This window comes from Homo sapiens, chromosome 11 (assembly GCF_000001405.40).
Source record: "Homo sapiens chromosome 11, GRCh38.p14 Primary Assembly".
Lineage (NCBI taxonomy): Eukaryota > Metazoa > Chordata > Mammalia > Primates > Hominidae > Homo > Homo sapiens.
In genome coordinates, this window is record NC_000011.10 from 60,889,875 (window position 1) to 60,911,924 (window position 22,050).

At 46.3% G+C, this 22,050-nt stretch overlaps 1 protein-coding gene and 1 long non-coding RNA gene across 3 annotated transcripts, besides 7 other annotated features; one reads left to right on the forward strand and one right to left on the reverse strand.

Moving 5' to 3' along the window:
- Positions 1-672: 672 nt before the first annotated feature.
- Positions 673-16,711, reverse strand: PRPF19 (pre-mRNA processing factor 19). The gene is made up of 16 exons (NM_014502.5): positions 16,490-16,711; positions 13,838-13,987; positions 13,585-13,661; positions 12,866-13,007; positions 12,709-12,782; positions 12,529-12,591; positions 11,625-11,666; positions 11,421-11,495; positions 10,980-11,055; positions 10,708-10,817; positions 9,275-9,430; positions 8,988-9,057; positions 8,667-8,752; positions 8,227-8,397; positions 7,972-8,077; positions 673-1,389 (listed from the first exon to the last, which is right to left on the reverse strand). The coding sequence occupies exons 1-16, from the start codon at positions 16,506-16,508 to the stop codon at positions 1,292-1,294; spliced, it is 1,515 nt and encodes a 504-aa protein (NP_055317.1). The 5' UTR covers positions 16,509-16,711; the 3' UTR covers positions 673-1,291.
- Positions 9,263-9,788: an enhancer, noted in NCBI's record as "H3K27ac hESC enhancer chr11:60666609-60667134 (GRCh37/hg19 assembly coordinates)". NCBI's record gives its function as "activates a minimal SCP1, AML or CMV promoter by ChIP-STARR-seq in primed H9 embryonic stem cells {active_cell/tissue: H9 hESC(primed)}" and the evidence as "EXISTENCE:reporter gene assay evidence [ECO:0000049][PMID:30033119]".
- Positions 16,304-16,403: a silencer, noted in NCBI's record as "silent region_3375". NCBI's record gives its function as "represses an Ori minimal core promoter by ATAC-STARR-seq in GM12878 lymphoblastoid cells {active_cell/tissue: GM12878}" and the evidence as "EXISTENCE:reporter gene assay evidence [ECO:0000049][PMID:35858748]".
- Positions 16,304-16,930: a biological region, named in NCBI's record as "H3K27ac hESC enhancer GRCh37_chr11:60673689-60674276".
- Positions 16,343-16,930: an enhancer, noted in NCBI's record as "H3K27ac hESC enhancer chr11:60673689-60674276 (GRCh37/hg19 assembly coordinates)". NCBI's record gives its function as "activates a minimal SCP1, AML or CMV promoter by ChIP-STARR-seq in naive H9 embryonic stem cells {active_cell/tissue: H9 hESC(naive)}" and the evidence as "EXISTENCE:reporter gene assay evidence [ECO:0000049][PMID:30033119]".
- On the forward strand, positions 16,905-21,026 carry PRPF19-DT (PRPF19 divergent transcript). 2 transcript variants are annotated; one of them, NR_186696.1, is made up of 2 exons: positions 16,905-17,408; positions 19,553-21,026. It is a non-coding gene; the product is annotated as a PRPF19 divergent transcript (long non-coding RNA). The 2 variants fall into 2 exon arrangements; NR_186697.1 differs by having other exon boundaries at positions 16,905-16,969.
- Positions 17,044-17,163: an enhancer, noted in NCBI's record as "active region_4781". NCBI's record gives its function as "activates an Ori minimal core promoter by ATAC-STARR-seq in GM12878 lymphoblastoid cells {active_cell/tissue: GM12878}" and the evidence as "EXISTENCE:reporter gene assay evidence [ECO:0000049][PMID:35858748]".
- Positions 19,986-20,035: an enhancer, noted in NCBI's record as "active region_4782". NCBI's record gives its function as "activates an Ori minimal core promoter by ATAC-STARR-seq in GM12878 lymphoblastoid cells {active_cell/tissue: GM12878}" and the evidence as "EXISTENCE:reporter gene assay evidence [ECO:0000049][PMID:35858748]".
- Positions 20,746-21,055: an enhancer, noted in NCBI's record as "active region_4783". NCBI's record gives its function as "activates an Ori minimal core promoter by ATAC-STARR-seq in GM12878 lymphoblastoid cells {active_cell/tissue: GM12878}" and the evidence as "EXISTENCE:reporter gene assay evidence [ECO:0000049][PMID:35858748]".

Genomic DNA, 22,050 nt, shown 5'->3' on the forward strand with positions numbered 1-22,050 from the left:
TCTCAGCTCCCCTTCTCAGCACTATTTTTTGTCTATAATCACTGACTCCCACACTTCCTCACCTCATATCCTCTTACCCCACTCCAGGGAGGCAGCCAGCCCCGACCTTCCACTGGGATGGCCCTTGTCAGGGGACTGTCAATCACCCCAGACTGTACACCATGGTTCCCCCGACTTTGCCACCATGACCTCCTTCCTGTTCCTCCATATATCTCGCTCAGTCCAGCCCTAGAACCTGCTCTCTGCCTGCCAACACTCCTCCCCTCTCAGGTCCCTCTCATTCCAGCTTCAGCTTCATCACCACCACTTCAGAGGCCTTTCCTGACCTGCAATCTAAAGCAGTCACGTGACCCTACAGGAATTCCCTATAAGGCACATTCATTATCAGATCTTTGTCCCGAAACCAGTCCTACCACAGCTTTTCAATCGCCAGAGTCAATAAAAAAATCTCCTTTTTGACTTATGCCAGCTGAGGACAGGCTAGAAAGCCTACAACTAAAGAACCCTGATGGAGATGCTCAGACCTCCCCACCAGCAAGATCCAGCTAATCTTCCCTGCAGGTCTCCCTCCCTTCCAGGCTTGTGTAGGAAACCAAGTCTACAAGGCAAGTGGCAGGACTAGTGACTTGAGGCCTTTAGACACAAGGTCAAGAACCGCAGGGACATGGCAAATTTCATCTGCAGATTTGTTTTTATTTCTGCTGTGCAATTAAAAAAAAAAAAAAAGGGTAAGAGCTGTGAAAGGAAAGGAAGATGGGCTTCCCGGAAGCCAGTGTCCCAGTGTGTGCTCCCTCCCCTTGACCTTCCCAGTCCCAGGTGCTCCTGGTGCAGACAGACACGGGGAGGTGGTTATGGTTATTGTTTTCTTTTTTTAATGAAACTAGATCACTGCTTACAAAACCCTGCACAAGCCCTCCTGCCCATCCCCTTCACAGTTCCCTTGGCTCAGCCTCTCCTGTCTCACAGGAACTGCAACAAAATGGGTGTGGAACAGCCACCACCACGTCCATTGAACGACAGGAAGGGAGAGGCCCTGGGCTCCGACCCTGGGCCTTAAGAGGGTGACAGTTCTTCCTTCCACATCCGTTCCCATGGGGCCTGGAGTTGCATGGATGAGGGTGGTCCATGCCACCATGGTTCTCAGGCCACCACTCAGACCAGAGTGAAATGATGTGAATGTCCCACCCCACAGAGCCCCCTCCCCCCATAGATTCCCCCCACCCCCCCCCCCAAACCCTAATTCTACCCCTCTACTGAGATGAGGCCCAGCTTCCATCAGAAGGGCCAGGGCCTACAGGCTGTAGAACTTGAGGCTTCTGTCCATGCCTGTTGAAGCGATGAACTTGGCGTGATGCCCGAAGGCCACCCCTGTGGTCAGGCCGCTATGCTCTGAGGAGAAAGATAAGAGGCAACTGTGAGAAGGCTTTTCCTCCTTTAGTCTGAACACTGATCCCTAATAACAGATTCCCAAACAACCAGGCCTTCTCTAATTAGTATTTATCACACCGCAGGCTCCTGTTTGTTTTCCCTAGGCTGACCTGCACACTACCCCCAGTGCCTCCCTCAGTGCCTGGCATTTTTCACTGGTGGGATGAATGAATAAAGCAATGCCAGCCCCCCCTTCTCACCTGAGCTTTCTGGGCAACTGCAGTTCGGCTAGGTTTAGTTGAAAAACCTCAGAGCTCAGCTTGTTTATGCCTAGTGCTCACTACTTGCTCGTAAGTGGAACAGTCCATCAGCATTTTCTAGCTCATAGTGTTCCAACCCCAGGGCACTCAGGCCCCTAACACAGAGCAGGACCAGATAAGAGGCAGATGAGGCTGGGCAACATTCCTCATGGGACTCCAGAAATTCATGAACATCTGGCCAAATTCCTTCTAGATTTAGGATCACACCTGGAGTCAACCAACTCCCCATTAAAAAGCTCACGCTGTATTTTCAGCTACCTAACTCGGTTCTAAATCAAAACACCAGGTACAGTACAGGGTGAAAACCGGTGAGCCATATTGTTAGGATGGACACCTTTGTTATACAAACACACTGAGCAGGGCTCAGGAGAATACGGGGCAAGAAGAAATATCTTGTATCCTGCTCACAACCTGCTAATGAGGACGAGAATTTCATCAACACACACAGCAGTAGCTCCCATTCATGTAGCATCTTAAGTGAGCATCAGGCACCCTGTTACCAGCATATTAGCATGCCATCTCCACAACACCAGCTGTCACACCCTGCAAAGCTGTGCCAATATTCCCATTTTCTAGATGAAGGAGTTCAAGATCTGAAAGGGAAAGTCACGTACCCAGGGCCACATAACTGTTAGGTTAGAAACCCTGTTACCCATTCTCTCAGCATCTCATGCTTTTCTTCTCTAGCACTTATAATTGCAATTAAATGTGTACATGTGAAATTAATCTACATCTGCCTTACTAACCTGACTATAAATTACATCAGTGCCCAAATCGGGTCTGTTTTATTCACTGCTCTATCCCACCACAGACTAAGACCCAATGCTGAGTGAGAACAACTGCAAATCCTGACTACGTGCCAGACACCGTTCTGACCTATGTATTCACAGACGGTCCCCGATTTACCATGGTTCAACTTGCAATATTTTCAGCTTATGATGCACTTATCAGGATGTGGCTCCATCGTATATCAAGGAGCACCTGTATGTATTTTCATCTAAACCTCAACAACCCCACTGAGTCTATAGTTACCATTCCCACTTTTCTGAGAGGTTAAGTAATATTGGATCTCAGAAAACAATACCCCAAAGTATGGTGGTTTGGCACGCTGAGGGCTTTGAACCAAGGTCTCTCTGACCATGTCCTGCCCTCCTGTCTCTTGCCCCTCTTTCTCTAAGGGCAGGTCATCTGAAAGGAACATCATGAATCCCCTTCCTGGGAATCTCAACCAGGGAAAATGAACTGGTCTCACAAGAGAGAAGACTAGATGCCAGTCTTTGTCACAGACTGTCATGCATTATTTATCTAAGGTCTGCTCTGAGACAACTTTTATTACCTGAGAGACTCTGTAGTGCACTTCCTCCCCATCCCCCCACATAACTTGTGTCACCACCACCCCCTAGAAGCCTTAGGCCCCTACTCCCTTCTGCAGTTCAGGATGCCATAGAGTCATGTGTCACATAATGACATGTCAGCGACGGACCACACAAACACTGGTCCCATAAGATTACAGTGGAGCTGAAAAATTCCTATCACCAAGTGATGTCATAACCATCATCATGTCACAATGCAATGCATTATTCACGTTTGTGGGGATACAGGTATAAACAAATCTACTACACTGCCAGTTGTATAAAAGTATAATATAGCTAGGCGCGGTGGCTCACGCCTGTAATCCCAGCACTTTGGGAGGCCGAGGTGGGCAGATCACGAGGTCAGGAGTTTGAGATCAGCCTGGCCAACATAGTGAAACCTCATCTCTACTACAAATACAAGTACAAAAAAAAAAAAATTAGCCAGATGTGGTGGCACACGCCTGAAGTCCCAGCTACTCGGGAGGCTGAGGCAGGAGAATCACTTGAACCCAGGAGGCGGAGGTTGCAGTGAGCCAAGACCATGCCATTGCACTCCAGCCTGGGTGACAGAGCAAGACTCAATCTCAAAAAAAAAAAAAGTATAACATAATTAGGTACAGTACGTTACTGGTTTATGTACAGACATATCTCAGGGACATCGCTGGTTCAGCTCCAGGCTACCAATAAAGCAAATATTGCAATAAGGCAAGGCACACAAATTTTTTTGGTTTCTCACTACATATAAAAGTTATGTTGGCCAGGCATGGTGGTTCATGCCTGTAATCCCAGCACTTTGGGAGGCCGAGGCAGGTGGATCGCTTGAGTTCAGGAATTCAAGACCAGCCTGGCCAACATGGGGAAACCCCGTCTCTACTAAAAATACAAAAATTAGCCGGGTGTGATGGTGCCCACCTGTGCTAGAACCTGGGAGGTGGAGGTTGCATTGAGCCAAGATCGTGCCACTGCACTCCAGCCTAGGCGACAGAGCAAGACTCCATCTCAAAAAAAAATGTTATGTTTACACTATACTGTAGTCTATTAAGTGTGTAATAACATTATGTCTAGTAAACAATGTACATACCTTAATCAAAAATACTTTATTGCTAAAACATGCTAACAACCATCAGACACTTCAGTGAGTTGTCATCTTTTTCCAAGACCCACCAGCAGGGTCTTGCCTTGATGTCGATGGCTGCTAACTGACAAGGGTGGTGTTTGCTGAAGGCTGAAGTGGCTGTGACAATTTCTTAAAATAAGACAACAAAGAAGTTTGCCACATCATTTGATTCTTCCTTTGACAAAAGATTTCTCTGTGATGGATGCTGTTTGATAGCATTTTACCCACAGTAGAACTTTCAGAACTGGAATCAATCCTCTCAAATTCTGCACCTGCTTTATCAATTAAGTTTATGTAATATTCTAAATCCTTCATTATCATTTCAACAATGTTCACGGCATCTTCACCAGTAGAAGATTCCATCAAGAAACCACTTTCTTTGGTCATCCCTAAGAGCTCCTCATCCATTAAAGTTTTAACATGAGATTGCAGCAATTCAGTCCCATCTTTAGACTCCCCTTTGGATTCTAATTCTCTTACCATTTCCTCCACATCTGCAGTTACTCCCTCCATGGAAGTCCTCAATCCCTCAAAGTCATCCATGAGGGCTGAAGGGTTGGAATCAATTTCTTCCAAACTCCTCTTTATGTTCATAGTTTAACCTCCTCCCATGAATCACAAATGTTCTTAAGGGCGTGTAGAATGGTGAATCCTTTCCAGGTTTTCAATTTACTTTGTCCAGATCCATCAAAGGAACCACTATCCAGGGCAGCTATAGCTTTATAAAATGTATTTCTTAAGTAATAAGACTTGAAAGTCAAAATTACTCCTTGATCCATAAGCCGAAGATTGGATGTTGCAGGCATGAAACATCTCCATCTGAGCTTTAGGGTAATGAGGTGCACTGTAATATTTTGAAAGGAATCTATTTTTCTGAACAGTACCTCTTAATGGGGGGCTTAAAAAATATTCAGTAAACCATGCTGTAAACAGATGTGTTGTCATCCAGACTTTGTTGTTCTATTTACAGAGCACAGGCAGAGTAGATTTAGCCCCACCTTCTTAAGGGCCCTACAATTTTCAGAATGCTAAATGAGCTTTGGCTTCAATGTAAAATCACCAGCTGCATTAGTCCCTAACAAGGGAATCACTCTGATCTTTGCATCTTGGAAACCAGGCATTGACTTCTCTCTAGCTGTGCAAGTTCCAGATGTCACTTTCTTCCAATAGAAGGCTATTCCGTCTACATTGAAAATCTGTTGTTGAGTGTACCCACCGTCAATGATCTTAGCTAGGTCTTCCGGATAACTTGCTGCAGCTTCTACAACAGCATCTGCTGCTTCACCTTGTACTTTTCTGTTATGGAGATGGCTTCTTTCCTTAAACCTCATGAACCAACCTCTGCTAGCTTCAAACTTTTCTTTTGTAGCTTCCTCACCTGTCTCAGCCTTCACAGAATTCAAGAGTTAGGATCTTGGTCTGGATTATGGTTTGGCTTAAAAGAATGTTGTGGCTGGTTTGATATTCTATCCAGACCACTGAAACTTTCTCCATATCAGCAATAAGGATGTTCTGCTTTCTTATCATTTGTGCGTTCACTGGAGTAGCACTTTTAATTTCCTTCAAGAATTTTCCTTTGCTTTCATAACTTGACTAATATTTGGTGTTGAGGCCTAGCTTTTGGCCTATTTGGCTTTTCACATGCCTTCTTCACTAAGCTCAATCATTTCTAGCTTTGGATTTTAAGTAACAGACATGGGACACTTTCTTTCACTTGGACACCGAGAGGCCATAATACGGTTATTAACTGGCCTAGTTTCAATATTGTTGTGTCTAAGGAAATAGGGAAGTCTGAGAGGGAGAGAGATGGGGAACGGCTGGTGGGTGGAGTGGTCAGAACACACACAGCATTTCATTTATCAAATAAATTCAGTAACTTTTATGGGCACATTTCATGGTGCCCCCCCGCCCAACAATTACAATAGCAACATCAAAGATCACTAACGGACACAATAAATCATGAAGAAGTTTGAAATACTGTAAGAATTACCAAAATTTGACACACAGACACAAAGTGAACACATGTTGTTGGAAAAATGGTACTGACAGACTTGCTTGGGGCAAGGTTGCCAAAAACCTTCAATTTATAAAAAGCAAAGTATCCATAAAATACAATAAAGCTAAGTGCAATAAGACAAGGTATGCCTATACTATACTTTTTTTGGTATTAAATATACTCTTCCCACTTATAAAAAAAAGTTAACTGTAAAACAGCACCAAGCAGGCCCTTTCAGGAGGTATCCGAGAAGAAGGCATTATCATCATAGGAGATGACAGGTTTATGCATGTTGGTGCCCCCGAAGACCTTCCGGTGGGAAAAGATGTGGAGGTAGAAGACAGTGATGTTGGTGCTATGGTTAGGCTTTGTGCCGCCACCCAAATCTCATCTTGAATTGTAGTGCCCATAATCCCCACGTGTTGTGGGAGGGAGCCAGTGGGAAGTAACTGAATCATGGGGGTGGTTACCCCCATGCTGTTCTCATGATAGTGAGTTCTCACGAGATCTGATGGTTTTATGAGGGGCTTTAGCCCCTTTGCTCAGCATTTGTCTCTCCTGTTGCCATGTAAAGAAAGACATGTTTGCTTTCCCTGCTGCTATGACTGTAAGTTTCCTGAGGCCTCCCGAGTCACTGTGAGTCAATTAAACCTCTTTCCCTTATCAATTACCCAGGCAGTTCTTCATAGCAGTGTGAGAACGGACTAATACAGTTGGTGATCCTGATCCTGTGTAGGCCTAGGGTAATGTGTGCTTGTGTCTTAGTTTTTAACAAGAAAAGTTTAAAAAGTAAAAAATAAAAATAAAAAAATTAGAAAAAAGCTTATAGAACAAGGATGTAAAGAGAGACAATATTTTTGTACAGCTGTACAATGTGTTTTAGTTTTAAGTTAAATGTTATTACAAAAGAATCCATTTTTTTAAGTTTATAAAGTAAAAGTCAGCTAAGGCTTATTACTGAAGAAAAAGTTTTTTATGAATTTAGTAAAACCTAAGTGTACTGTGTTTATAAAGTCTACAGCAGCGTACAGTAATGTCCTAGGCCTTCACATTCACTCACAACTCACTCACTGAAAGCAACTTCCAGTCCTGCAAGCTCCTTTCATGGCAAGCACTATACCAGTGTACCATTTTAAAAAAATCTCTTATACCTTATTTTTACTGAACCTTTTCTATGTTTACACTTGTTTAGATACACAAATACTTACCATTGTGTTATAATTGTATTCACTACATTTAATATGCTGTACCGGTTTGTAGCCTAGGAGCAATAATAGACTATACTAAGGTTATAGCAATAGTCTTGGCGTGTAGTAGGCTACACCATTTAGATATATGTAAGTTCACTCTACAATGGTCGCACATGACGATATCACCTAACAAGACATTTCTCAGAACATATCCCCATTATTAAGTGATATATAAACTGTATAAGCTTCAATCATCTGACCCTTCTGCAGATCTAATATAATGTGGGCCTCCCGTGCATATGCACGTAATTAAAATGGCTCTCCTCCTGTCACTGTCTAATGTTCATTTATTTTAGATTCAGTTATCAAAACTTCAGAGGGACTTTTCTCTCCCTTTAGTAACCTGCCCAATGCCACAGGGCATGGAAGTGGCAGAACAAGCACTAGCATCTACTGCCATGCAGTCTGACTCAGTTGCTTCCTTAGTCATAAAGCTCTGCCTCAGGTGGTAACAGAAAGCTGCTTAGGTAAATTCATGCAAGCCCTAGAAATTCCTAACCCAGTGAGGCTTCCCTCCGGGCCTGGGCACCTAGAGAGATCCCAGGAGCCCAGGACCAGCCTCTACCTGTAAAGTGAAGAATCTCCGTCCATTGTTTGCAGATGTAGATCTGGACATCCGTGCCCCCAAGAGCCAGGTAGGTACCACTCTGGTCAAAGATCAGTGACTTTACCTGCCAGAAATAGAAAGAGAGAAGGTCACACAAGGGGAACAGAAACTATGGGGCAGTTGCGGATAAGCAGAAGCAATTAGATTAATTCAATAAATAATTGACAAACAAGGAGACACAATGGAAAGCTGGGCGGAGGGGGAAGGGCACACCTCAAAGTTGTTATCCAGCTGCAAAGTCTTAAAGTTCTTAAGCTTGCGCAGATCCCAGAGCTTGACAGAGGAGTCATCAGCCGCTGTAGCCAGGTAGTAACCATTCTCAGAGAAGGCGATGCTAGTGATGGGGCCCGAGTGGCCAGGGAAGTTGGCCACATTAGTACGTTCCTACAGTGGCGGTGGGTAGTAAAATACGTCACCCACAGATCATGAGAGGAAGAAAATGGGGCTCACCAAACTCCTACCTGAGATGTCCCTCACGTCCTTCCAGGAAGGACAGCCAGCGGGACCCCCCAGACCACACCATCATATCACACACGCACAGCCAGTGTCTCTCCACCTTCAGGGCCAGGTGCCACAAGCACCTAATTAGCACTGCATTGTCACAAACACTCCCTCTGGCCCTGGGCCTCAGATGGAGGCCTACCATGTCCTACCTTCAAGTCCCAGATCTTGATCTGAGAGTCCATGGTTCCTGTTCCAAAGATGAGTCCGTCAGGGTGGAACTGTGCACAGGTGAGAGCTGTGGAGGAGGGAAGAGAGACCTGTGGTCAGAGCCCACCAGGGAGAGAGACTAAGAGCAGCAAAGGTAGGTTCCTTGTTCTTCACATTCCTCAGTGAACCCAGCACAAAGCCCGCACTAGACAGGTGCTCATGGTAAATATATCTTTAGAACAAATAAACAAATGACTAAATAAAATGTAAAAATAAATAATAAACAGCAAACAAAAAAGCTGAGTGCCTATGAGGCAACTTACAGCAGCCGGAGGTCTCATCTGTCACCTTGGTGAGCACACGCCCTGTCTGGATGTCAGAGAAAGCCCAGTACTGGGGAAAAAAAAAGAGACAATGGAGTCAGTGAGAAAGTGGGTCCCAGGTTCTGGTGGCCCTTCAGCAAGACAGAGCCCCTGGTTTGGCAAACCCTGGCAAACATTCTCCTTTGAGGTTCTGGGGAACCAGCTGGGGTGGGAAGATGTTCCTGCCACCCAGGATGTTCAAGCTTGGGGACCAGCAGGCCTCTCCAGGGCACTGGCTGGGACCGCACCTGATCATCGGAGGAGCTCAGGAGATAGTCGCCAGTGGCATGAAGGCTGAGGCCTGTCACAGCACTCTCATGGGCCCGAACCACCTGTACACAAGAGGCATTGGGGACCGACCAAATCCTGATAGTGGCATCGGGGGAAGCAGAAAACACCAGGTCCTACAAGGAAAACAAAGACAGAATATCAGAGTCAGAAAAGAGATACAGACCAAAACAATCTTATAAAACGGGGCTGGGGATGCCCACAACTGCCAACAATTGCTTCTCCTTTCAGCTCTGCCCTCCCTGGAACCACCTATCCACCCAATGGTGCCCAAGACAGCCAATGGTAAACGCTATTAAAGTGCTAACTCATACAGCATCAGGGCTTGTGGAGGCGTCCTCGCCATCTAGTGGTAAAAAGGCTAACTGCAACAGAGAGCAATTTTCCCATTTCCAGGACCAAAGGAAAAATGTAGCTAGTACAATTGAGGGACTGAATTTTTTATTCTATTTCATTGAAATTTAAATAGCCACATGCAGCTAACTGCTACTGTACTGTATGGCACAGGTCTGAGCAGTACTGGGACTGGAAGGGGCTGCATGGCTGTATTTCAGTGCATTCCACTTTTATGGATTTCCAGGGTAAGTTAATTTTCCAAAAGATTTGGGGCAGGGAGAGAATTTCGCGTCACTCACCAATTTTTTGTTTAGTTAGGATATTAAAAGCCATAAGGTAAAAATAACTACCATCTTTTTTTATCAATACAATTTCATGAGACCTAACTATTAATACCCCATAAGCAAGAAAACAGTGCTCTCAATTTGAACAAATTTAGTCATGAAAAATTCACCATGTTATTCTTATATTTCTCATTTCCCTAAGGTCCAAGGGAAATCTTGACTGCGAAGCACTAAACCAACCATGTCCTGCAGCCCCAAACCCAAACTGTCTTAGGCTTAAAATTCGAATCCCATAATATCATTAATCTGGTCCCATGAGTTACCTTTACCCTGTAAACCAGAGGTTCTGTTTACAACCTACACCACTTTCAACAGTCAACATGATTTTTACCCATCTTGGAGGATCATGGGAAAGCAGATATATCTGTCCTCCTCGTAAGTGTGAGTTGAGATTGTGTTGAGCTTTGTTTTCTGTAGTTTATATTAGGAACACTATAAGATTTTTTCTTTCCCTAATATGAAATATTTCAATGAATATGCTTGTCAAACTACACATTTCCGTTCTCTCCCTGGCTGGAAGATCACTGCTTTAGAAGGTCTCACGCAGAGTGAAGGGCAATCTCCACAACTCCAAAGTGAGCCCCTCCAAGTGCCCACTCAGGAGTCAGAGTCAGAGCTCTTTCCCAGCCCCACTTCACAGAGACAGCAGCGGGGTGAGGGACAAACAACAGCCAAGGAAAGAAGAACCAAGGGTGGCGAGGAGAACCCCTTACCTGGGAAGGGTGAAACACCACGCTGGTGACCTTCTTGGTATGGCCTTTGAGGGTAGCCAGGATTTGTTCAGAACTTTTGTCAAACACAACGACATTTTTATCCGCCCCACCTGGAGAAGACCCAAAAAGACCAAACAATGAGTCAGGCCCACCCAGGCCCTTTTGCTCAAGGAAATGCTTTTGTTCCCATGCCCATGAAGAGGACAAGGAGCATGCGCCTTCCCTGCTGCCCCTCCCCACTTTGGCCTGCCGGGCTAGGCCCAGACTCTCACCAGTGAGGATCTTGTTGGTGTCGGACGGGCAGAGGTCCAGGGCCAGGATCCCAGGAATGCTGGCACTGTGCAACCCCTTTGCAGAGAGACACACCAAACCCTGTCACGGCCAAATCACAGCAGGCCACAAAGCCACAGACCTCCCCTACTGCCATCTCCAGTCACCCATGTTCTCAGGGGAGCAAGAGTTACTTCTATTCCTTATCCATACCTCTTGGCTATCTGCCTGGTACGGTAACTCCCTCACTGCATCACTAGGAAACCCACAGCTGGGCAGAAAGAGGAGCCCTGACAACTCAGCAGCCCAGGCGAGAAACAGCACCAGGAACAGCGCCAGGAACCTGGGACAGCTCTGCACTCAGCACTCCCCATGCTGGCCCGCCCACCCCAGAAACAAAACGGGAGGGCTGTCTCCAAGACAGTGGAGACCCAGACACTCACCACGTGGGATGCCACCTGCCGGTATTTGCTGAGCTCTTCTGGCTTCACCAGCTCCTCAGGCACAGTCTTCCCTCTCTGAGAAAATGAAAAGCCCCCAAAGAAGAGCAGCAATGAATCCAAGATTCAGCCGCCCTCTCTCTCCTAAGGAGTCAACCGCCTCCCACCAGGCCAGCTCTTTCTCCAGGCTTCAGAAAGAGAACTCACCTTCTTGCGCTCCGTGGTTAGCACAGTGGCTTTGTCTTGAAGCTGGGGAAGAACAGGCTCAATGTGAGACAAATCATCTTGCAAGGAGAAAAGTACATTAGATGCTGGTCACACCTGTGCTTTCAAAAGCAGCACCAAGAACTTGCTATCTGCCAACTTCTACGTTACAGGCTTAAAGGCATTCTCTCTTCTTACTTCCATCCCAGCTTTATGAGGGGGGTGTTGATGACCTTATTTTACAGCTGAGGAAACTGAGCCTCAGAGAAGTGAAGTCAATTGCCCAAGGTCGCAGAGGTGATAAACAGCAGAGCAAGAATAGAAGCTAGGACTGTAGAGCTCCCATAGGTCTACACGCCACTAAGCCAAGGGCTCAGACACATGCTGACAATTTGAACTGCTCAGAAAGACACTAAGAAGCCCTGCAAATGAGAATCCCACTGGACTTGCAATCAGGAAGCCCAGCTCTGCCTCTCAGATGTGTCTTTCATCTGCAAAATAAGGATTATAATTCCTATCCTATTGCCCTCATAGAAAAAAAACAAGAAAATATATAAAAGTAGTTTACTATCTGCAAAGAATCTCAATAACAATAAGAGCTAAAAGGTGCACTTATCAGTAATGAAATCTTTTAAATTCCCACAGCCTGCCTATACAGTGGATATGATCATATTCTCAGTTTAGAAGCTAGGGAAATGAGACACGTAAGGGTTGGCTAAGTAAGCCAAGGTCATAAAGCTTACAAGTAGTGGCATCAAAATACAAACCCAGGCAATCTGGTCCCAGGGTCCATGCTCTGCACCACTCAACTCCCAAAAGCACAGTGATTTTAGTCACGATGGACTCCAGACAGATGGTGAAAAGTAAGGGCCCATCAGCACTCCCACCAGGTGAGAGCAGGACTTACCTTCTGAATAATCTCTGGGGTCATTCCCACCAGCTCACCCAAATCCATTGGCTCACCCGCACCCTGAAGAGAAGAAAGGTGAGGGTGAGAGGCACAGAGCACCAAAGACACCTGCATAAGGACAGTTCTGTGGGCCACTGTACACAAATGGGCTGCTGGTAAGGGAAGGGGGACACTTACCACAACACTTGGTTGGGAACTTGGCACAGCCTGGGGCACAATGAGGCCAGCCTGTGGTTTCAGGGTAGCCAGAGCTGAGAGAAAAGACGATGTTAGAAATGGGATATTACAATGCAGAACCAGCCCAGGGTGGGGGATGGCAGGGGAGAGGCTGCACCTTCTCGGGCAGCAGTGACTTCCTTGGTGAGACGGGCAATGACACGGCAGGCGGCATCGTGCTGGTACAGAGCGTGTGACAGCTCTTGGCGGGTTGTCTGCAGCTGCTGGCGCAGAGTGAAGCTGTGCAGCATGACTGCATCCTGGGAGAAGCAAATATCATTGTAAGGTGAGGTGGGGGGTGCAGGGAGTACCCAGTGGAGTCAGCCCTTGGGGAGGGGATGCTGCCTCCTATCCCAGAGCCTAGACCAGTATCAGTGACCCAAACAATATCCGAGCAAACACGAATGTGCCGGCAGACACTCTTGAGCTCCTACCCCAAGCGAACCACTGGGCACACAGACAGGAGTGGGAGCCAGCTCTTTCCCATCCCCACCTTCCCTAACTTACTGGCAAATCCCAGCTGTCATGCCGTCCCCTCTCTAAAAGAGAATAACAACACTGCTGCTGCTGCTATTTATTGATCGCCCTCGTTGTGTCAGGCACTGTGCCAGACAGTCCTGCAGGATGTATTCAATCATTCAATTCATAACTCTAGAGCACCTACTATGTACCAGGTGCTGCTCTCAGTGCTGGGGATACAACGAAGAATAAAACAAATCCCTGATGTCACAAAGTTTACCCTCTAAATAATGCTCCATCCTTCCTACCCCCAAGTCCTAACCCAGCAATGCATTCTCTTCAAGTGGGGAAGATGCTGATTCTCTTGCAGGAACTCACCCACTCATCCTGCAAAGCTTTCAGAATGGCCGGGATGCTGGTGGCTGAGGGAGGCTTGGGCCGGATTGGGTGAGCAACTGCCGAAAGGGAAAGCAGGTATGAAGAACATAACCCAGGGGCCTCCCCCGCCATCACATCTTTTCCTTTTAGCCATAAACAGCCCACCATCTCTTCCTCCAGTGCACTGGCACCACCTCCCATCCTCTCAGGCTCTGAGCTAAGATGGCCCTAGACTAAGGCAGCCAATAGGCACCTTTGATGTCGATGAGCTGCTCCTCGGAGAGAGGCTGGTTGTTGATGGGGTCGGTACCATTCTCCGCAATGTACTTCTCGATGAGCCGCCGCTCATAAACATGATTAGAGACAGGGGATACACATGGGTGCTCCGGCACTTCGTTAGAGACTGTAGAGAAAAGGCTGGTAGTGAGCTTGGAGTGAAGGCAATCTTGGGCCTAGAGGATTCCTCATCTGCTATTAGCCCCAACAAGACTAGGCATCCTCACACTCAACTAGCAGAAAGCAAGACATTTGACCCTAAGCCAGTTCTGTACTGGCCCCAGAATGCTTTCCAGCTATGGAACTACCTTTTCCTTTAGTCTCCTGACTGAGGAGATAGTCTCCTGACTATCTGACAATCATATAGTCAACAAATAATTATTAACAACTACTATGTGCCAAGCACCTAGAGAATAGCAGTCCATTATCACCACCTCATATCTGAACAATGATTGTGTACTCTATGAATACAGTTTACTCCATGACATGGAGATACACATGAAGCCATTCAAATCCCTGCCATCCATCTTAGTCTATAGCTCCAGACAGATTATCAAAGAAATTATAAAGTCTGAGAATACAGGAATAACAAACTCAGTTTCTCCTATTCTCTGACAAAACAAAATACTTCTGTGACCTCAGATGTGACCATCTGGGTGTCCTCCAATTCAATTCTGACACCAGGTACCTGGAGATAGTGTCAGATCATACAGGTTGAGGTCTCAGTCCCACCAGACTCCCCGCCCCTTCAGATGCCAATCGCAAGCCCCAGGTTGTTTGACCTGTTCTTCTGATCTACCAGCTGTAAATCAGGGTTCCCATGACCTCCTTTTTGGGTTCAATTAATTTGCAACAGTGACTCAAACAATTGTGGGAAACACTTATGTTTACCAGTTTATTGTAAAGGATATTACAAAGGATACAGATGAAGAGGAGCATAGGATGAGGTATGGGAGAAGTACAGAGCTTCCCATGCCTTCCCTGGGCACCCCACCCTCCAGGAACCCCCACATGTTCTGCTATACAGAAGCTCTTTGAATCCTGTCCTTTTGTATTTTTATGAAAACTTCATTACAAAGGCATGATTCAATAAATCACTGGTCACTAGTGACGACTTCAGTTCCTCTCATTTCCCCAGGTAAATGGGGGGTAGGACTGAAAATCCCAACCTTCTAATACCCTTTAGTCTTCCTAGGTGACCAGTCCCCATCCTGAAGCTATTGAGTCTACCAGCTACCAGTCAACTGATTAGCGTACAGACACTTATCACCTGGAAGATTCCAAGGAGCAAAGTGGCAATCGCTACAATAAAAATATTTAAAAATATTTACATGGCACATTTGCATGGCACATTTCTATGTGCCAAGCACAATTCTAGGCATACAGTACAGTAATTCATCTTCACAACAACCCGCAATAGAGGTATCATTTACACTCTTGCCTGCGTAGACTGTGCACCCCTTGAGGATAAGGATTACAGCTGGTCTCTCACTTCCAGTACAATGCAGATGCCCCCAGGGCACTCGGTAAACATCTAACAAATGAGTGAACCATGCCAGGAAGGATGGTGCTGGGGAACGTAAAAGAGAGCTTCCCGAAGATTGGAAGGAAACAATAAATGTGAAGGTACTTTGCGAGCTGTAATTTCTTCAAAGTGAGGGATTCCTTTTCCATCATTTCCCTTCCTTCTTCCCCCTCTTTGGATCAATGTACAGGTTCTGAGAAGAGAAGGAAGTGAATAGCAAAAGGGAGGGGAAACGAGTAATCTGATGAAACAACGAAAAGGGAAAGGAAAATGTCTGTACGTCATGATAAAATATCAAAGGGAAAGATAGTGGAAGGTATGAAAAAAGCATGGATTCAGGGTCCAAGATCCGTGTCACCTAACTACGTCACCCAGCTCTGCCACTGACTAGCTACGCATCCTTAGATAAGCCCCGCTCTTCCTGCGCCTTGCATCCTCATCTGCAAAACCAGGATCTTTATTTCTCCTTTAGGGAATTCTTGTGAGGATAAAATGAGATCATAGACTTGGAAGCGCGTTGTAAACCAATAAGGGCTTATAAATGTGCGCTGTTTTTATTAGTCATACAGTGTAAGGCTGGGAGCCAGATACCTGGCTGCCAGCCTTGCCTCTACCTCTAACTCATCATGTGACCTTTGCAAATTGCAAAAGCTCCGACTATCCGAGCGAGGCCTCGCAAAACATCCACTGCAATGCTCTCGATTTTGCAGATGGGGAAACCGAGGCCCAGAGCCTTGAGCCAATTCATAAAGCCAATGGGAGGCGGACCCTGGACAAGACCTCGAGTTTTCTGACTCCTACATTAAGGCTGCTTCCCTTGCACCAGCTCTCTCTGTCCAGACCTGTTTCCACTCTGTAGAATGAGGCGACCGGCCTCAGTAATGTCTGCGACAATAAACCTCAGGCACTATGTAAACTGCGGGGCACTGCGCAAATGCACCCCGCTCCGACGGGGGGGGCTCCGGTGCTGACAGGCCGCCGCTCGGCCTCCGGAGCGCCCCATTCCCGCCTCCACCCCGGCCCGGGCGCCGCAGCGGACCGCACACGCTCCCGCGCCGCTCTCTGGCCTCCTGAGACCCGCGCTTGGCCGCAGCCAACACTCACTGGAGCAGATTAGGGACATGGCGCCGTCACCGTGCTCCGAGGCGCCACACGCCGGGCTCCGGGACTAGCTTCTGAGCCTCCGCGAGCCACTTCCGGTCCCCCGCTGCTGCCGGGACTGCTCCGCGGCGAGCTGGGAGCCGCCAGCCGAGCGATGCTAGCGTAGCGCTTCACGTGGGAATGGGGACAGCCGCGCGCCACAGCCTTCAGCACCTAACGGAAATTGCCCTTTCCCAGAATGCAGCCGGGCAGGAAAGGGCCCGCCACGAACACTCGGTTATTTCCGGATTGACTCGGCTCGTTCCGTAAAGCGCCGGAGGATTGGCTGGGGCGTCGGGAGAGAGGAGGCTCGAAACTACATTTCCCATGACGCAGTGAGAATTTAAAACCAAAACAATTGGACAGCACTTGTTTTGACAACTGTGCGGCACTGTGCCACGGGACCCTGGTCTTTGAAACCTTGGCGTGCGCGAGAATTTCCCAGTGAGTTTGTTAAAATGCAGATTCCTCGGGTCTGCGTAGACAGACTGTGCCCCACGCTTTTCTAAGTCAGTTGTTTCTCGGGCTACCCTTTAAGAGACACTGCTGGATGGCCTGGTGAAGAAAATACAGAAACAGATGGGTACAAGAACTAAGAAAACGGCTAAGAAAGTGTTTTGGTCCTGACTACTACCATTTCGCTCTGTGATTTGGGGCAATTCACATTGCCCTTTCTTCTTTGTCAAAAGACAAAATCACAACAAACTTAGTTCAAAGATTTTTTTTTTCTTAAGAGACGGACTCTGGCAATGTTGCCCAGGCTGGAAGGCAGTGGCTATTCACAGGTGCGGTCATAGCAATCATGGCTATCACAGGTGCATCCTGGAACTCCTGGCCTCAAGTGATCCTTCTGCCTCAGCCTCCGGAGTAGCTGGGACTTAAGGTGCGATTCTATAGAATTGGGCAGTGCCTCATACTATAAAATATAATGGTTGTTCCAATGAGCTGAACAGGAGAACTTGGTTTTATAGACAGAAAAGGACTGAGGAAAACAGGAACAGAGAACAAAAAGCGGATTGGTCATTTGGTAATTTCAAAATTACTTTTCTTGTAAAGGTTAAAGTGGAGGGGACTTATCATGCCACCTAAAACTTGCCTGTTTGGGAATTTAGCTCCCCCCTACACACACACACACACACACACACACACACACACACATACACACTCAGAAGGTCGTAAAGATCTTCGTTTCAGCTTATTGGCGTGGAGCTTCAGCAGGACTAACTCTTTTTAGCTTGGTCTGTTAGGCCTAGCAGAAGAGCTCAGTCCAAACCAATGGCCTCCTATAAATTTCTTTATTTTGTATTTTGGATTTTGTATTTTCTATTTCTCTTCCAGCTCAGATAGTGTATGATTCTTTGTGGATATCTGTAAGATAAGATACTCTCAGGAATCATGCAAAAGACGTGGTGTGGACTGTAAGGTATCAAGACAAAAGGGCAGGATGAACAGGATGTGAGTGAGAGGGACTTTGACAGGTGGGCAGTATTCAGAGGAGAAGGAGAACGAAAGGCATTCCGGAAGAAGAAACAACGTAAGCAAAAGCTTGGAGAGAAAAATAAAAGTTACAGGTACAAAAGGCAATATGGCATAGTGGCCAAGAGCATGGACTCTGAAGTCAGACTGTGTGCTCAAATCCTAGCACCACTCAGGTGATTGGCAGTATGAACTTCTCTATGCCTTAGTTTCCTCATCTGTAAAACAGAGGGAGTGATGACAAGGGTAGAACTAACTCACTGAACTCTTATGAAGAGTTAATATGCAAAAGGGCATCTCATCTCTGTCTTGCACCAACAAAGTAACTTCCCACTTGTTCCTTGCTTCCAGCCTGGCCTCCTCCTCCTAATCTACTTTCCACAGAGCAGACAGTGATCCACTTTGAACGAAATATCTATTCATGTTATTCCCCAGGCATTTCATTCATCCAACAAATATTGATTGGGTGCTTCCTATGTGCCAAGCCCTATTGTAAAAACTGGAGATAGAAAAGGTCAACAAGAAAGACACAGTTTCTGCTGTCTTGGAGCTTACACTCTACTGTGGGTGGTGGGAGCACAGAGACAATCAACACTTAAGAAGAAAATTCCAGAGTAGTAAGTGCTATGAATACAACAAATCAGAGCAAGGTAGACAGAGGTGCTGGGGATTGGAGGAACGGCTACTTGAGGCAGGGCACTTAGAGAGTGCATCACTGAGGAGCTGATTTTTTTGCTGAGAACTGAATGAGGGTATGGAGCAAAAAAGTTTCCCCTCTGCCCTCTAAAGATTTGCTGAAATTAACTGACAATCGACAGAATAACAGGAGAAAAGGCATACAAGTGTATTAGTGTGTGAGTGTGCACAGGAGTAATACAAAATATGAGGCTCAAAGAAGGAACAGGTGGCTGATGCTTACTTAAATGGCACCCAGGAAAGACGGAGATGGGGGAAATGTAGGCAATTTTGAGGGCTAGCAAATAATTTTTAGGGAGGGCTAGCAAATAATTTTTAGGGGAAATGAATGAGCCCCAAGAACAAACAATGCCTTGGGACAAAGTTCTTATGAGCTCTGGAGGAGGTGGCAACAAATTGTGGGAAGGTGAGGGGCAGAACTCCATTGTGAACAAAGGTTGTCTTATTATGCACATAAGGTCTCTCAGGTAATCTGTTAGAGCTCCCATCAGAAGAATAGATTAAAAGTCTCTCTAGGTGTAGTGGTGAGTTGGTGACTTTTAGTTTTTATTCTTCTCCAGTGGTTAATCTTTCCTGGTTATTTGATGAGTTTCCTGTGGAGGGAGATTTGAGACAATTGCATTTCTTCTGAAAGAAATTTTCTCAGTCAGATAAGGGAACTTCTAGAGAGAGCTTCTCCCTGTACTTAGGGTGGGGGTCAGGGGGCAAGAGAAGGTTAGAAAGTCCTTGGTTCTAAGGCAGCTTCTAAGACCTTCCCATTTCTTTTCATTCAAAAGTGCTCAGCATGCTGTAACCTCAGGACCAATCCAAACTGGGCCTACTCTTTTGATAACAGAATGTCATGTTCTCTTGTAGGTATGACAGAGCCAAAACTCCAAGTCATGTCAGTAGGGCATGCCCAATAGAAAATGCTTTGACATCTAACAACACCCAGAACCAATGATTCCTCCCTGTGGTACCAAGAAGACCTAGACATGATCGGAACCTAAATGCTGGAACTCTTTCAGGAGCAAAGGGTCTGTTGACCAGAAAGATCCAGGGGTAAAATCCACCTCAACATACCCGTGTAGTCAAATTTGACACCCTCCAATCAGACCCTGCCAAGCCAAAATTCCTAATACGTTTCCTTGCCATCTGTATTAGTCTGTTTTCACGCTGCTGACAAAGACATACCTGAGACTGGACAATTTACAAAAGAGGTTTAATTGGACTTACAGTTCCACGTGGCTGGGGAAACCTCACAATCATGGCAGAAGGCAAGGAGGAGCAAGTCACATCTTACATGGATGGCAGCAGGCAAAAACAAAGAGCTTGTACAGGGAAACTCCTGTTTCTCAAAACCATCAGACCTCATGAGACTTATTCACTATCACAAGAACAGCACAAGAAAGACCTGCCCCTATGATTCAATTATCTCCCACTGGGTCCCTCCCACAACATGTGAGAATTCAAGATGAGATTTGGGTGGGGACACAGCCAAACCATATCACCCTCTGACCCCTTAAATCTTGCCCCAGACCCCAAATTAGGAGACAGATGTGAGCCATGCCTCCAGTCTCCTTGCTGGGTGGCCCTGCAATAAAGCCTTTCTGTTCTCAAAAGCTGGTACCATAGTATTGGCTTCTATGTGCATCAGGCAGTGAGCCTATTTGCTCAGAAACAATACTAAAGCACCATACTTTGGGGTATCATTCTCTGAGCCCCAACCAGGGGTCATTCCTGAGGCCATGAATGAGGGAGAGAGTTTCTGGCTGAGGAAACTTGCCCGTAAGTCTTGCACCATCTGGCCCATGCTGACCATCACAGTCTCACTTTATCTTCTTTCCAGCCACATTGGCCTTTCAGTTCCTCAAACATACCCGCGCTGGCTGGTTTCAGAACTTCTGCCTGGATCACTGTCCTCTCCCCCCTCCCTCTTCCCCCTCCTGTCTCAAACCCTCCAATGTAAACTTCAGTCTCACCTTAAATGTCACTTCCTCTGGAGCCCTTTTCATGGTCCCTGGTTTAAATTTAGTCCATACAGCAAACTGTGATTGTCCTCCAAACCACTTCAAAGAACTGTAATCATTTAATTATCTATTTATAAGTATCTGATGTCTGGGTTCTTCACTAGACTGTAAACTTCATGATGGCAGGAACCATAATTGTTCTGGTTACTCTTGCTCTCAAGAGTGTAAGAGTGCCACATTGTGCCTGGCACATAGCAGGAACTTTATGATGATTGTTGGTTGGAAGACAGGTTGCCTGACAGGCCAGTCATCTCAACTACTGTACTTGGATGTGTGGTTGGAAATAAAATGGATCCGTTTAGGAGAGGCCTTGAACCCAAGGTGGTAAAACTTGGGTGGTGATTGGGCTGGCAGCACAACAGCATGTGTTTGCATTTGAGCTATGGAGTGATAACCATACTTTCAGAAGTTTCCTCTGGAAGACACTTACTGGATGGGTTGGAGTGGGACAGACTAGAAGGAGGGAGACTCAGTAATTAATTGTTGAACCAATCTTTATTGAGTACCCATAGCGTGTCAGCCCGGCACGATACTAGGTGTTGGTAGTATCACAATGAGCAAAACCAGAGGTGTCCCTCTACTGGGGAGTTTATGGCTATGATAGCAGGATGCAGGAAAAAGGAAGTCCTGTCAAGGCTTTTCCGTTTCATAAGCCAGCCCACAGGGAATAGAAAAAATTCAGGGCACTTGGTTTCAGAGAAACAGGGAGAGTTAAGGGAAAAGAGATATATGCATTGGTGCTGGTGGGTCCCTGAGGAAGGAACTCTATGCCTTGTTCCTCCCAGACCAAAGCTGCTGTTGCTGCCTGGGGAGCATGGGGACACATTGGCCAAAGACCCAAAAGAAGCTTAATTTCCCAGGTATCTTCAGTAGCAATCTGTGTGGATAAGTGACAGAAGATTAGTCAGGGAGAAGTTGCCAGCTTAAACAACTGACACTGATAATTAGATGAATTTTCTTTTTTTCTTTTTTTTTACATGGAGTCTCACTCACTGTCACCCAGCTGGAGAGCAGTGGCGTGATCTTGGCTCACTGCAACCTCTGCCTTCTGGATTTAAGTGATTCTCCTGCCTCAGCCTCCTGAGTAGGGATTACAGCACACACCACCACACCTGGCTAGTTTTGTTTGGTATTTTTAGAGAGACAGGGTTTCATCATTTTGGCTAGGCTGGACTTGAACTCTTTCACCTCAAGTGATCCCTCTGCCTCAGTCTCCCAAAGTGCTGGGATTACAGGTGTGAGCCATTGCCCCCGGCCAGGATTAGATACATTTTCTCCCCCAACTTTGGCCCTATATTCATTTTCCAAAAGGTGTCTACGACCTGAAAATCAAGGATGGGAAGA